This window comes from Homo sapiens, chromosome 12 (genome assembly GCF_000001405.40).
Source record: "Homo sapiens chromosome 12, GRCh38.p14 Primary Assembly".
In the NCBI taxonomy this organism is placed as follows: Eukaryota; Metazoa; Chordata; class Mammalia; order Primates; family Hominidae; genus Homo; species Homo sapiens.
The window spans coordinates 69,878,413-69,894,104 of NC_000012.12; the positions used below are offsets into that span (position 1 = coordinate 69,878,413).

The window sequence follows — 15,692 nt, forward strand, 5'->3', positions numbered from 1 at the left end:
CATTTCGTTAGCTCAAACAGTATGTACAACCATTTTTTTCTGGTATAGGAGTATTAAGAAGTAATTATTTAAAAAATTTTATTGATACATAATAGATGTATATATATTTGGGGGTAAATGTGATAATTTAATACATCCATGTAATTTGTAAAGATTCAATCAGTGCCATTGGGATATCTGTCACTTTAAATATTTGTCCTTTATAAGAAGCAATAATATTAAACTTTATTGGGCACTCACTATGTTTGGGACATTATGTTAATGGGCTTTATATACATGATCTCATTTAATTCTCACAACAATGCTGTGAGGTAGATGTAATGATTATTTCCATTTTGTAGATGAGGAAATGGAGGCCTGGAGAGGTTACGTACTTATTCATGGATACACAGCTAGGAAGTGGAAGAGCTGGGACCCAAAGCCCACTCACTTAACCAGGACACGACCTTGGGCCTGGTCTGCTGGGGTCTCACTTCCCAAACCCCTCACCCCCCCATGCCCAGCACCTGGAACCATCACTGTGGGGGCTGTACACTGAGGGTTGTCTCCCATTTGTGACAAAACTATAATGGACTAGAGTGAAACAAAAACGCAATGTATGTCTCTAATCTTCAGGCAACGCCAGCTCCCAGACACCCCGCCCTATTCTGCATCCGACTCATGCTCTCCTCCGCAGGTCAAAGGTGAGTGCGATCCACCTTCAGCACATCTGGCACTGTTGCTCTTCCTCCTCGACTCTGGGCCGTGAGAAAGGGGCACTTCCTGCTTGTGTCTCTCCCCAGGTGCATGCTACCCAACCCTGAGGCCCACAGCTGGGAGGACTCCAGCTCCTTTTCTCCACCCCACAGCTGCTCCTGCGATGCCGCCCATGCACCCGCTGCAGAGCACCTCTGGAATGGGCGACTCCTGCCAAATCCACGGAGGCTTTCACAGCTGCCACTCAAACGCCAGTCATCTTGCCACCCCCCTGGACCAATCCGTGTCCTCCCATCTGGGGATAGGTTGTTCTTACCCTCAGCAGCCTCTGTGTCACAGCCCTGGGTAAAGAAAAAGATATTTAGTTATCAAAGACCTTTGCGGAAAGCCTCGGAGCAGCCTGCCTCTGGCAGGCACCTAGAGAGAATGCACAGTGGAGTCCTGTCCAGGAGATGGCAGTGTTGAGACGCGTATAGGACATCGCGAGGTCCCAGTGTTCTTGGCTTAGACAATCTTTTAATTAAAAACCCTCCAAATCCAAGGTCCTCATTCAACCAAAAGCTAAAATGTCAGAAATATACAGTGAGGTTCTGGATGATGGAGGAAACACCGTAAGCTTATGCAGCCTCAGCTAGACTACCCAAAGGGATTGTGAATGAGCTCTCCGAGAAATATCTGCTAATTAAGCATTAACTAATGTTCTTTTCTTCTGTCTTCTCCCCTTTTCTTTCTTTTATTTCCTCTTCTGGATCTAGAGAGTGCCAGAAAGAGTAAAGGCTATCAAAAATTGTGGTAAAACTCCACATGAAAAAAGTTGTCGGGTGTAAAATGTATACCTATATTTTAAGTCTGTATCTTCCCTGTCTCAATGAGTCCTCTGCCATTATAAACATTGTCAGCTTATCTTTCAGGTTGGTGAATCTCAGATCCACTTGATCAAGGGAAATAGTTTCAGCCTAGTAGGGCTCAAGGAACCTTAACTAATTGGAATTAGACTTAGGAAAGCAGAGAGCCTGGGAGATTAAATTTTATTTAACATAACATGGAACACAAGGAAGAATCCTAACCTTCGTTTTGGTGTCTTGATTTTAGAGCCTCATTGCCTCCAACCAAGAAGAGAAAGTGCACGCAGGCACTGGAGGACTCCGGGGAATGCCGAGTGTGGGCCTGCCACTGCAGACCGAGTGAGCAAACCTGGGTGGGAACAAGGGCGATGCCATCAAAGCCTTGGGCATTAAAGCAAGGCTTTTTACCAGCCTTTGAGCAGCCCTGCAAAAGTTTCCCTCTCACAGAAGAGCAATGATAAGCTCTGGTAGTTTGGTTCTTCCCTCTTGATGTACCTTTCATGCAGGCGGGGTCACACAGGTCCTCCTAGGAAGAGATGATGTTTCCCGTCTCAGGTGTGGGTGAAGTGCCAATCTTTCAATTTCAGGGACGATGTGTCTCAGAGGATTCAGGCTCCAGGCCTGTGGAAGCTGTGCAGTATGGCAGTGCCTTCAAGAGCCTGCTGGTGTGCCCATTGCATTGCTGCAATCCTTCTCAACCTTAATGTGCAAGAAATAGCATGAGGATCTTGGTAAAATGCAGACTCTGATTCAGTCTCTAGGGTCTGAGTTCTGCATTTCTAACAAGCTCCCAGGTGATGGCGATGCTACTGGCTCATGGAAGGCACTCTGAGAAGCAAGACTTACCGTGTTTTTCCACTAGAACAGGGAGGTGGAAAGTTGAACTTTTCCTCAAACTCACTTCAAATTGGCAAGTTCCCAGTGGATGTTTGAAATTTGAAATCATTTTAGAAGTCTTTCATCCGAGTCATCTAATGTCCAAGCGGTCAGCCTTCCTGTTTTTTTTTTTTTTTTTTGTCTTATATAACGTGTAACACATCATGTTTTGAGCCAAGAGACCTGATTAACAAAGTAGCCTTTTGAAGTCCAAAGACTTGAACTTCAAAATTTTCAGAGTAAATGCTATGGCACATACTAGGGGAAAAGGATAACACTCTAGGCCAGTTTCTGTTTGTTTGTTTGTTTGCTTATTTGTTTTGTAAAGATGGGTTTCACTAAGTTGCCCAGGCTGGTCTTGAATTCCTGGCTTCGAGTGATTCTCCCACCTCAGCCTCCCAAAGTCTTTGGATTGCAGGCATGAGCCACCATGTCTGGCCTCAACCCAGTTCTATTAGCAACTGTAAACACTCAAATGTGGGCAGTGTGAACAAATTCAGCGTACCAAGTCCCATTTCTTCTATCCCAGTTTGTCACCTTAGCAAGAGGTTGAAGACTTCCTTCTTGGGTTCCCCCATCCCACCACTTCCCCAGATTCTAGAGGTTTACACTGTCCAGAAAGGAGATGTGCGTGGCTTCACCTGAGTGGGAAAAAACACAGTCTCTCTTGCTGGGGCTGCTGCCTTTTCCTTTGACAGCCCCATGGTAAGAGCTGATTCTCTGAGGGACCTTTGGCGTCAGCTCCAGCGTGGGCTGTGGAGGCCTTCTGTGGATGATGACTTCACCCTGTCAGTCAAGTCCCACCCATCTCCTGGGAGTGCGGTCTCAGAATTGCACTGGGCATCTATCCCTCATATCAACTAAACCTCAAACTGCCTCCTTTCTTTGTATATGCATCCAACATGGTCAGCAGTTGTTCACCATTTTTTTTCCAACCTTAGAAACACAAAATGCTAATTAAAGCCCCATTTGTGGATAAGTTAGAGCTTTCCATCCACCTTCCTATGCAATGCTACCCTAATTTCTTCAGGGATCCCCACATCTAGCCTGTAGCTTTTTTTATGATTCTCAGACATAAAAGGCTGAGTAAATCCCTAGCCAGACGGGGGAACCATCTGTTCATTCTACTGCAGATGCGCTAGCTCACTAAGGGATACAGGACAAGTCACTCAAACCTTCCAAGAATTCCCTCATCAAACCAGATTGCTGCTCAAATTGTCCTGGCCATCCCAGAGTTAAGCTCCATCCTGCGATGGTTTTCTGCTGCCTGTCCCAGAAAGGTCATTGATTCATCACCATCTTCAGAGAACAACCATGGAAGAGTGATGGAAATTACTAGGATTTCCAGCAGATAGGAAATCCTATATCCCTTGTTTAAGTCCTATTCACAGGTCACTGAAAAGCTGACTAAAGATAACTGATTCCAGACAACAGTTCCAGAATGAAAATGAGCAGGTTCCCAAGGCCAAAAAAAGAAAAAAGAAAGAAAGAAAAAAAAGACACAAAACAAAACATTTAGTTAATCCGAATGCCACATTCTTATTACAGTTTGTATTTTTAGCGAAAGTTTTCTAGTCAATAATTCCTATTTGATGTTGCAGGGGCCAACATTTCTACAAAGGTCCTGGGGAAACAGCACATTGCTAGAGGAAGGAGGAGGTTATGCCAGTCTTACAGGCAGAAGGATCACCAATTTTTGATCAGAGATGGCCTGAGTCAATCAATAAAACTTTTCTAGTGACCTCCTCCCAAGTAGTACACTTTGGCCAAGGGTTCCAAGATCCTCATTTATAGGGCTGAAAATGTAGAATTACTGGGTTGGCGTGGGCAAATGTAAAATTTTGCTTAGAGAGGAAGTGCTGGTAGGCAGGCTTCTACCAGCTGGTTCCTGGCCCTACTTGGTCTGAACCCCAAATGAAAAAAGGGTTCATGGCCTCCCTGGAAGGCTTCAATCTTCTCTTATTTTGAACCTCAAATACAAAAGGGTTTTCCAGCCCTAGAGTCATGGCCAGTGGCCCACAGTAAGAGGTGCACTGGCTGAATTCACACTGTAGCATCAGAAAATGTACCTATCTCATCTCTCCAGGAATCTGGGATTCCCAGAGCCTTATTTTTCTTGATTATGAAACGAGAATAATAATTTTGACTTTACCCATCTCTAAGACTTTTTAAAGTAAGTTATGCAAACATATTTTGAAAGGCATTCAAATGCAAGCTATCAGTTTTCTCCAAAAGGTCTGGACTTAGGCAGTTTGCTGCTTTTACATTCTCACTTCTGTTAGATTTTCTCAAGAGATCCTCAATCTAGCATGAAGCGAAGAGGAAGATTTGAATCTCACCTCTTCCACTTAACAGCTGTGACACTGGGCAAGTTATTTCAGGTCTTTGAAAGTCAGTTTCCACATTTGTTAAATGAGATTAAGAATCCTTACCTCATAACCACTTTAGAAATCCTTTTGGCAGTATCTACTAAAGCATGTCCTGCAACCCATAGATTCCATCCCTAGAAGTATAACTAGCAGGAATGTGTACATATGCCCACCAAAAGACATTCATAAGAATGTCCAGAGCAGCATTACTTGTAACAATCACAAACCAAAAAGATACCAAATGGCCATCAACGGCAAGATAAATTGTGGTATATTTATACAATGGAGTACAATATGGCAATGAGAATGAGCAAAGCACTGCCATTTGCAACACTAATGAATGAATCCCATAAACATACTGTTGGGCAAAAGAGGCCGGTGAGGCCAGGGATGGTGGCTCATGCCTGTAATCTCAGCACTTTGGGAGGCTGAGGTGGGTGGATCGCTTGAGCCCAGAAGTATGAGACCAGCCTGGGCAACAAAGTAAGATCCTGTCTCTACAAAAAGTAAAAAAAAAAAAAAAAAAAAATTAGCCGATGTGGTGGCACATGCCTGTGGTCCCAACTACACAGGAGGCTGAGGTGGGAGGAAAGCTTCAGCCCAGGAAGTTGAAGCTACAGTGAGCTATGATTGTGCCATTGCACTCCAGCCTGTGTGACGGAGCAAGACCCTGTCTAAAAAAGAAAAAAAAAGAGGCCAGCCCAGCATACAAGAGTATATATTACATCATAGTATTCCATTTCCATAGTATTCCATATAAACTCTGCTATGGTGTTAGATTGTAGGATAGTGGTCAGTCTTGGGGAGGAGAGACTAATTATTGACAGGGGGCATGTAGGTGTCTCCTGCAGGGCTCAAAGCATCCTATACCACTAGATCATTTTGTAAAGTATAAAATAGTGTACTTATGATCTGTGTACTCTTCTTGATGTACACTGTCCTTCAAAAAAGAAAGTTTATGGAACAAAAGGATTCTTACCTGGGAGATAATTTAAGGAGCTGATGGAATACTATGTAATGTGTCTGGGACAGCACCTGTGGTGCAGAAAGCACTCAAAGTAGGAGACATTGTTAGTAGTATTAATATGAATAAGTTCTAGCACTAGGCTCAGGTGTGTGCCTTGGGTTTCAGTGTGGGCCTGTAATTCCAGGTTCTGATCCCTAGGCTTTTCCCAGCTTATAGCCATCTCCCAGGGAAGCCACAACTGTGTCACCCCTATTGGAGCAGCTGCTGTGATACCCTTACTGTTGTGATGACAAAGGGCAGGAAATGCTGTTGTCTTTGAGGACAATCCTCCCTGCCCCTGTCCACCCTCCCTGTCAGTGTCTGGAGAAGTGGAGCTGGCTTTTGGCTGCATGCCTGAGAACATTGACCTTGCTGCCACGCTTGAGTGGGAAAGGGCATGATTTAGCCAGTATTCAGTCAGGAACATGGGCTAGTTATTTCACATTCGATAGAGCTACCATGGAGGCCAACAACAGGAGTATTTCCCAAGGCTTCTTAGGAAATACTGAGCCACCTAAGTTGAAACAAGTACAGTGATAATGACAGTGCCACTAGTAATAGCTGAAGGCACCATTGTTTAAACTCTTACCAGTGGTAGACACTGTGCTCTGCGTTTTACAGTCATGGCCTCATTGAAACCCTTCAACAACTCTGGAAGGTAACATGATTACTCCCATTTTGCAGATGAAAAAACTGAAGCTCAGAGAGCTTAAATCATTTTTGTAAGATTGCTTGGCCCTTAAGTGTAGAGTTGTGATTCAAACCCAGATCTGTCTTGATTCAAAACTCCAAGCTCTTGACCCTTTCTTCATTGTAGGAGAGAGGAAGAAAAAAAAGGAAGAATTATGTTCTCTCTTTCTCTCAATTTGGTGTAAGCAGGATAACCATAGAAGGGTTTCTTTCTTTTTTTTAAAAAAAAATATTTTAGACCACTTAGCTTTTGGAGGAGTGAGAGCACGAAGAGCTCCTTGCATTGTCCACTTCCTGTATTTGTAGCTGGGAAAAAAAGTTTTTCAGTGTTTTGAGAAATCTTTCTAAAATGGGCATTTTATAAAAACAAAAAATGCATATTTTGCTTAAGTGACATTTAATAGCAATACCCCAAGAGAAATACTTTTTTTTTTTACATTTGGTATGAAAAGCAACTTGAAGCAGCTCTATTTATTTATTTTAGGAAGTCCTCAATGGAAGTATAAAGAAAGGAAAAGTTTGAAGATGAAAAAACAACCCAGCTCCTTTCTCCTGCATTCTCCAAGCTGTGGGCTAGGTGGATACATTCAATAGGAGCTAATGTCCTATTTGTACATTGTTACTGAGAGCCGCACCTGGTCTCACAAACACCCACTATTTCCCATTCCCTCCTGATGCCAGGCATGAGTGATGGTAGAGGAGTTAAAAGAAAAGGGAACAGCAACCATACCAATACCATTTTACATAAAAATTATCTGAGGTTGAATCCATATGGTTTAGGAGGCATACTCAAATTAAGACAAGTTGCAAGGATTATGCAAAATAGGAGGTTGCACATGTGAAATTGCTGTTATTTGACCATTTTTGACATAGAAAAGTGGCAGTTTTCTACAGTTGATATTGCACACTAACAAGATTTTCTCTGTTACTTTATCTTGGTTCTAGCTTCTGAAAGTGCTTTCACTTCCATTATGTCATTCTCTCTGCTTGTGTAATGCTGTAATGTGTAAAGATGGCAGGATACATGTTTTTAATTTCTATTTTGCAGTTGAGGGAAGTAAGACTCCAAGTGAATAAATAACTGGTCTAAGTTCAAAAAGCTAATTAGACCACAGAATCTTGGAGCCACAAAAGACCTGCCAAAATTAAAATATACTGGTTGCAATGAACAAAAACAAACCAAAATTCAAAAAAAAGCAAACCCTCAAACTGCCTTGTGCAAAAAAAGCAAAATAAAACAACAATAACAAAACAGGCAAAAAACAAAATTAGGGGAACTATTGGCTCCTGTTAACGCGAGGGTTTAGAATTGGGTCCCAGAACTCAGATGACACCATGAGGACTGGTGCCCTTCATTTTTAACTCTGCCTTCTGCTGTGCTGGCATCATTCCCAGATGGGCTTTTCCCTCATGTCCGAAAATGGTGCCAGCAGCTGTTGGCGATGTATCTTGCAGGTTCAAACCTCATGGAGAAGAGTGAGCATCCCTGAAGTGCTGAGATCCACTCTGCTTGAATTGGGATAGGCCACATGTCCACCACTGATGCAATTACTGATGCAAGGACTGAATGCTGTACTTTGGTTGATTGAGCTGGGTCACCTATCCTCCCGGCTCTGGGAATGAACTTCACTGCAACCACACAGACTGAAAGTGAGGAGAAGCTATGCAGGATGTAGGGTAGATAGATATCAGGGACAAAGTTTCCAACAGGTGTTTACCCCCCACCCTTTGACAACGCTGACCCCAGGCTGCTCCTTTCACAGATGAGAAAATGAGGTCAGCAACACACCTCCTACCCCCAGCACATGACACTTCCCTAGTCACTCTGCCTTACACATGGCCCACTCATCAGCTTCATGCTGCTAGCTGTGAGTTTAGGAAAAACAGCCTGGAAGGAAGGCTCTGACGCACCTGTTTCTTTGCAGTGACAAGTAGGAGTCGCAGCAGTGAAGTCCAGGACCCTGACAGTGAGGGACAGAACAGAATGCCTACAGACCAGTGCTCTCCTGCTCTGAAGTGGCAACCATGCCATAGTGTTCCTTGGCACAGCTTATTAAACAGTCATTATGAAAAACTGTAAGTGGCTTGAGTGGGCTGGAGAGTGAGGGGAGAAAGACAGTGCTAAATCTCAGTACTGAGTTCAAGCACTGGAGCTTTGATGTCACCTCTGGTCAAGTGGGGCAAATCAGTGAGAAAGTGTCTGTCTTACTCCTCATTTTTTACATCCTAACAAATAAATAGTTGGAATATGGGTTTCTGGCCTTCAGAAAGCCAGACTTATAGTTCCACCTGATTATAATTTAACCACTAAATGATGGAGAAAGAAGGAATCTTTCTGGGATCACATGCCCAGTTTAAACTAAAAACTGGAATATAAACATTCCCCAAATCACTAACACTTAATCCTGCAGTTAACTTATAATGCCATAAAATACTTTTCTGGGGGCCACATTAAATTGTGAGCCAATGACCACCCCCCACGTATATGCTGTGAATGAATATTACCAAGTTCACTGACAATATATCCTGCAGCAATCGTGGTAGATGGTTTCTTTATGTTAAGGAGTCTGAAGTCAAATCATACAAAACATCCTAAAAAAGTGGAAAAGCTTCACCCAATTTTTATGACATAAGATAGTTTCAAGAAATAAATGTGCAATCCTATATTATTACTCTTAAACATCCTTTAGACTTCTTTATTTCTTAGCATGTAATTTACCTACTTAAGCCTTCTAGAATTTTCATTGGGCTATAACTTAAGTTAAAATTTTCCAAATTCAAATTTTAAAATTTTCCAAATTCAAATACTGTAAAGCTTATCACTAGGACTTTCATGGTGGATGTACTAGAGGGAAGAAATATTTTCCTTAAAAGAAAATCTAGGGAGTTAAACAGACTTTGGGAGTTGGTGTGTTTAATAAGCTAAAGGAAGCTCATTGCTCATTGTATCATTGAAATGTCATGACTTTGTGTCTTTTCTACTGTGTGCAATTAGAAAAAGAAATGAGGGGTCCATGGGTTTTGGCTTTGAGGCTTGGCCTTCCTTAGATTATCTTTTGGGGAACATTCCATGTTTTGTAAGAAATATGAGCACCGAGGTATGAAACTGTCACACGCAGGCTCAATGCTTTAATTAAAACTTAACTGCTTCCCAGGCTCTATGCATCAAGTTGATCAAGTTTTCAAGGTAAGTGTTATCCCTCTTCTTATTTGAAAACATTTTTAAGTTTGTTTGAACAGCCTATCTTGGCTCCAATAATCTAGAAAAATATGGAGAACACAGAGTATATGGAAACAAAGGAGAACACAGATGGTATCAACTCAAAAGTAATGAGGCAGATTTATGTTGAGTATTTAGCCATAATTCACTTTTCCTAAGCAAAAAAGGAAGGCAATATTTACCCAGTTTAGAATTCAGGCCCTCCTAATTTCACTATTTATATCAATGAGACAGAAAAACACCCATCTTTTCTTATATAGTTAGGTCTAATTTGTTACAAAAATATCATTTTCTTAAGTAACCTAAAAACAGTTCAGTTAGGGCATTAAAATTTTATCAATTTTTTTCTGAATTATGTTTCAATGCTATCAAAGAACTTTTAAAAAGCCAGTTTAATTGACTTTATACTTAACTTTTGATATCAGAAGCAGAATCGCCATTCTTAGGTAAGCAGATTTCTATAATCAGAGATTGGTGTTTAAGGTTCAGAATAATCATCAACAGTATAACTCTTACTGATTGATTCCGTTTCTGATTATTGCTGCCCTAAATTTCAGCCTAACGCTCATATCTTAGCTGTACTTTTTTTCTTCAGAGTTTTTGACAGTGAAGCATAAAACATCACCAAAAATGTTTTATTCTCAACTAAGACGGTTCTTATTACCCTCTGTAGTAAAATCTACATAATTCTACCCATCTAGCCTTTAGATGAACAAATTAGCAGATTAATTCTAGAAACTTGAGTCAATAAGCAGTTTCCAGATGGCATAAGATGTGTAGTCTTTATCAAATTCTTCATTCAGTGGATTTTCTTTTTGCTGCTGGTAGGCACTGTGATTGTGGAGCCTTTGACTGATTGGCTTCTTAAGGGTAGTCAATGACTCAGTAACTTGATCCATTGGGAAGGTGCAAAGAACATGAACACTCTTCTCCCAAGAGACCCATTAATTTTTTCTGTTTCTGGAATTAGAGGAAAATTTAGAAACTCTTGTGTTATTCATTATAATAGCAGCCATCCAAATTGAGATCCCAGGATGCATAGATCTGTACAGTAGTAGAGCAGTGAGTAATGCCCTCCTCTGCTTGCAGAGAGCTTCTTTCTTGAGAAGAAACCCACATTTAGGAAGCTTGATGAATTAGAAATCCTGCCGCATATTTTCATCATGCATGGGAAAAATTCATCAAAGAAGTTTTCAACTTTTATGTTCTCTATTTGATAATGTTATGCATTTAATATGTTTTCTTTTTATTAACATTTTAGAATTGTTTTATTAAGCCTATTACAGTTTGAGTATTCCTTATCTGAAATGTTTGAGATCAGAAGTATTTCTGATTTGGGAACTTTTTTGGATTTTGGAAGATTGTATTATACTTACCCTAATCCAAAAATCTGAAATCTGAAATGCTCCAGTGAGCATTTCTTTTGAGCATCATGTAGGTGTTCAAAAATTTTGGATCGGCTGGGCGCAGTGGCTCACGCCTGTAATCCCAGCACTCTGGGAGGCCAAGGCCGCAGATCACCTGAGGTCAGGAGTTCAAGACCAGTCTGGCCAACATGGCGAAACCCCATCTTTACTAAAAAAATACAAAAATTGGTTGGGCATGGTAGCTGGAGCCTGTAATCCCAGCTACTCAGGAGGCAGAGACAGGGAGAATTGCTTGAACCCGGGAGGCGGAGGTCGCAGTGAGCTGAGATCACGCCACTGCACTCCACCTGGGCGACAGAGCGAGACTCTGTCTCAAAAAAAAAAAGTTTAGGATCTTGGAGCACTTCAGATTTGGGATTTTCAGATTTGGGATGCTCAATTTATATACACAAAGCATTGCTATTAGAAATAGCAATGATAAAACCAATAAAGCAAAAATTTGATTAGCCACCCTGCCACTATCCCATTTCTTTCTGCAGAAGTAACCACCATTGTAGGTTTTCAGTGCTATTACCAAATTGGGAGAATAAAAAGGAAATGACCATACTCTAGTGAAAACAGGTTTCCAATCGATTGTATAACTGGCTCTGGTTGATTTAAGAGAATTTCTGGTAATTCTGCTAAGTCTGCTTTTTCATGTGATCATCAATAGGCTGAATATTCTTTCATCCAAGTGACTTTTTAAATATGGTGTTGCTGGTGAAATTTTGAGACTTTTTTTTCCTAAAGGAGAAAAGAGATTAATTCCACCCCAGATATTTCACAAGTCTAAGTAATGTGTTGACTTCTCAACATCTAGCCTACATATTTCTATTGTGTTGTGGAGTCAAATTAAAAGTCTAAAAAACACAAAGGGGAAAGGCAATCTGAAAAAAATAATGCTTTCATTTGGCAAGAATTGTACTTCTGGCCGGGTGTGGTAGCTCACACCTGTAATCCTAGCACTTTGGGGTGCTGAGGTGGTTGGGATCACTTGAGGTCAGGAGTTTGAAACCCAGCCTGGCCAACATGGCGAAACCCTGTCTCTACTAAAAATACAAAAATTAGCCGGGCGTGGTGGTGTGCACCTGTAGTCCCAGCTTACTCAGGAGGTTGAGGCAGGAGAATTGCTTGGACCCAGGAGGCTGGGGTTGCAGTGAGCCAAGTTGGTGCTACTGCACTCCAGCTTAGGGGACAGAGCAAGACTGTCTCAAAAAAAGAAAGATTGTACTTCTTTGTGAGAAAATAAAAAGCTGGGAAACAGCCAGCTGTGTTTTGAAATGTTATTTTTATTTCCTCATTAAAAATTCAAGAAATCAATTGATTAAATATAGCAAAAGGCACTTTTCACAGTACGTTTTCTTGAAATGTTTATACAACTAATACTGTTAATGAAAATAAATATATGGAAACATTTGTAAAACTGGTTTCTTGGTTTCTCTTTTCATAGACCTGATGTGGGCTATCGAGTTGTAACAGACAAAGGATTTAATTTTTCACCAGCAGATGAAGCTTTTGTTTGCCAAAAGAAGAATCATTTCCAGATAACCATTCACATCCAAGTTTGGGGAAGTCCAAAATTTGTTGAAACCGAGATGGGCCTAAAGCCAATAGAAATGTTTTACTTGAAAGTTTTTGGCACTAAGGTATGTCTTTTATTTAGTTCAGTTTATATCAGTCAACATTTATTTTGTTTCAGTTGTCTATTGCTGCATGACAAACTATCCCAAAATGACTTAAAATAATAACAGTCCTTTATTTTGGTCACAAATCTGCAACTGGGTCAGCGTGTGACTATGACAACTCATCTTTGTTCAGAAGTCATCAACTGGGGCAGCTTAACTGGGCCATTTTCAAGAAGCACTCAGATGCCTGTTGAGTTTGGGCTGGCCATCAGCTGGAGCTCAAATGGGGCTCTAACTGACAGGGCTTAGCTCTTCTCCATGTGAACTGCTCTATGGGATAGCTTGTGTTTCTTCACACCATGGTGGCTGGCTTCTAAGGATAAACATTGCAAGACAAGTTAAGTGAAAGGTGTCAATTTCTTTCTTTCTTTCTTTCTTTCTTTCTTTCTTTCTTTCTTTCTCTTTCTTTCTTTCTTTCCTCCTTCCTTTCTTTTTCTTTCTTTCTTTCTTTCTTTCTTTCTTTCTTTCTTTCTTTCTTTCGTTCGTTCGTTCTTTCTTTCTTTTTTTCTTTGAGACATGGTCTTGCTCTGTCACCCAGGCTGGAGCACAGCAGCATGATTATGCCTCATTGCAGCCTTGACCTCCCAGGCTCAAGTGGGAGCCTCCCAAATAGCTGGGACCACAGGTGTGTGCCACCATGCTGGCTGTGTTTGTAGAGATGGGGTCTCACTATGTTGCCTGGGCTGGGCTTCAATTCCTGGGCTCAAGTGAGCCTCCTGCCTCAGTCTCCCAAAGTGCTGGGATAACAGGCATGAGCTACCATATCCAGCCAAGATGTCGATTTCGTAAGCCTGGGCTCAGAAAATGGCACGGCATCATTCAAATGATAGTTTTATAGTTTTCAGTGAATACTCTTGCAATTCTTTTACTAAATGTATTCTTAATTATTTTATTTTTATTGATGTTGATGCATTTTCATATGAAGTAGATTCATTATTTTCATCAAATTATCAAAGAGATCTGTGACCTAAAAAAAGCCAAGGAGCCACTAATTTAGTCAACGCCCTCCTGTACAGTTTAACAGAGGGGAGACTGAGGGCCAATAAGGTTACACAATTCATCCAAGGTAGTAAATGATAGAGCTCGGTTCAGAATGGAGGTAATATGACTTCTGAGTGATCAAAAAGTATTTCTTAAATTGTAACTTCATATCCAGTTCCTAAGAGGGAGAAGCATTCATTATCTGCCTATTTTGTTGTTTTTGTTGTTGTTTTGTTTTCTTTAAGACAGGGTTTCGCTCTGTCGCCTAGACTGGAGTGCAGTGGCTTTATCACAGCTCACTACAGCCTCAACTTCCTGGGCTCAAGCAATCCTCCTGCTTCTGCCTCCCAAAGTGTTGGAATTACAGGCATGAGCCATTGTGCCTGGCCTACATATTTTATTCTGATAGCTAACCTGGGCTTAGGCACTAAGGCTTGGCTGCTGCACACATAACTGTTCTTGCACCAAACTGAGCTCTTAAAAACAAAACAAAACAAAAACCAAAATACATATAAACATCAAACAAACAAGCAACAAAAAGACATTCTTTGTATGATTATGAATGTAATATAAGTTCATTGTGAAAATTTTGGAACATAATAGAAATGTATGAAAAAGAGATGAAATTCATTTGTATTTGGGATCCACCATTTGGTAGCCTATTTTTTCTCTTTTCTTCTGTTATTAAAATTAATCTCATATTGCTAGTAATATATTGTGGACATCACATTATATGATATTAGTAAGGACCCCATAAAAATATTGTTCACAAAGATAATATAGTTTTCCATTGTATGGATGCATCATATTAATTCCCTTATTATTAGAAGTTTTGTTTATTTTCCATTTTTTATTGTTAATAAAACTTCAGTGAACATCCACCCACCTTTGCATAAGGATACATTCCAGAAGGGGAATTTACACATGAAAGATACATATTATTAAAACTCTTGATGTAGGCCACCAGTTGCTTTCTAGAAAGATTTGTTACAATGTGAATACCCACCAGTTGTATATTACAGGGCTGATCTCACAAGTCTTTTCCAATATTCACAGAACAAGAAGAGTTTGTAGCAGATGCTGAATAAATGTTAATTCTTATGATTTGTTTATTATATTGTATATCATTGTTTCTTCATAGTAGAATGAATGTAAGCTCCCCAAGGACAGGAAATTTTGTTAATTGTGTTCAGTTCTTATCTCTAATGCCTAAAGCAGTTCCTCGTACATAGTGGGTGCTCCATAAGTACTTCTAGAATGAATGAATAAATAAGGAGCTGCCTTACTCCTGATGTTTCAGCCATCTTCCAGCCCTCTCTGTATTCACTGCCTACCTGAAATACTCTGTTGTCTTGTGTTCTCATTGTTTAATTTCACAGGTATTTATTTCTTTCCTCATCAACAGAATACCACGTTAAGGTAGGGACTATTGTCTTATGTGTCTTTTCAGTGACTTGTTCCTCCTGCCCAGTGCCTAGGATGATGCCTTGAAAAGCTTTTTAAGTACTTGAACATTCTTTGCTGATTAACATTTTAATTAATTAATTAATTAGTTTACTTTTTGTTGTTTCATACAGGTGGAAGCTACCAATCAAATAATTGCTATTGAACAGTCCCAAGCAGATAGGAGCAAAAAGATTTTCAATCCTGTTAAGTAAGAATTTATTTTCTGAATTCCTTTGTGAATGTTTTGTGAATAAACACCTACTTTGTTTTTTATATATATATAATTTTATTTATTATCTAATATATTTTGCTTATTTAAAATGAAACCTACCATAGAATCCAAATTAATAATGTTAATTTTTTTTTTTTTTTTTTTTTTTTGAGAAAGAATTTTGCTCTTGTTGCCCAGGTTGGAGTGCAGTGGCGTGCTCTGGGCTCACTGCAACCTCCAACTCTTGGGTTCAAGGGATTC

The 15,692-nt window shown here is 40.3% G+C and overlaps 1 protein-coding gene across 1 annotated transcript in view, besides 5 other annotated features; it reads left to right on the top strand.

Moving 5' to 3' along the window:
- MYRFL (myelin regulatory factor like) overlaps positions 1–15,692 on the top strand; it is a 133,871-nt gene that overhangs the window by 53,186 nt on the left and 64,993 nt on the right. Inside the window, exons 3-8 of the mRNA NM_182530.3 lie at positions 616–683; positions 783–1,041; positions 1,789–1,880; positions 8,408–8,558; positions 12,559–12,754; positions 15,352–15,428. Of these exons, the coding sequence (NP_872336.2) occupies positions 616–683; positions 783–1,041; positions 1,789–1,880; positions 8,408–8,558; positions 12,559–12,754; positions 15,352–15,428 (843 nt within the window). The remainder of the gene's footprint in view (positions 1–615; positions 684–782; positions 1,042–1,788; positions 1,881–8,407; positions 8,559–12,558; positions 12,755–15,351; positions 15,429–15,692) is intronic.
- Positions 275–812: an enhancer, noted in NCBI's record as "H3K4me1 hESC enhancer chr12:70272467-70273004 (GRCh37/hg19 assembly coordinates)". NCBI's record gives its function as "activates a minimal SCP1, AML or CMV promoter by ChIP-STARR-seq in naive H9 embryonic stem cells {active_cell/tissue: H9 hESC(naive)}" and the evidence as "EXISTENCE:reporter gene assay evidence [ECO:0000049][PMID:30033119]".
- Positions 813–1,350: an enhancer, noted in NCBI's record as "H3K4me1 hESC enhancer chr12:70273005-70273542 (GRCh37/hg19 assembly coordinates)". NCBI's record gives its function as "activates a minimal SCP1, AML or CMV promoter by ChIP-STARR-seq in naive H9 embryonic stem cells {active_cell/tissue: H9 hESC(naive)}" and the evidence as "EXISTENCE:reporter gene assay evidence [ECO:0000049][PMID:30033119]".
- Positions 868–917: an enhancer, noted in NCBI's record as "active region_6655". NCBI's record gives its function as "activates an Ori minimal core promoter by ATAC-STARR-seq in GM12878 lymphoblastoid cells {active_cell/tissue: GM12878}" and the evidence as "EXISTENCE:reporter gene assay evidence [ECO:0000049][PMID:35858748]".
- Positions 1,017–1,311: a silencer, noted in NCBI's record as "tiled region #6106; K562 Repressive DNase unmatched - State 8:EnhW". NCBI's record gives its function as "represses a minimal TATA promoter and a strong SV40 promoter by Sharpr-MPRA in K562 cells {active_cell/tissue: K562}" and the evidence as "EXISTENCE:reporter gene assay evidence [ECO:0000049][PMID:27701403]".
- Positions 12,923–13,123: a silencer, noted in NCBI's record as "peak1788 fragment used in MPRA reporter construct". NCBI's record gives its function as "represses an SCP1 promoter by STARR-seq MPRAs in K562 erythroleukemia cells {active_cell/tissue: K562}" and the evidence as "EXISTENCE:reporter gene assay evidence [ECO:0000049][PMID:32103011]".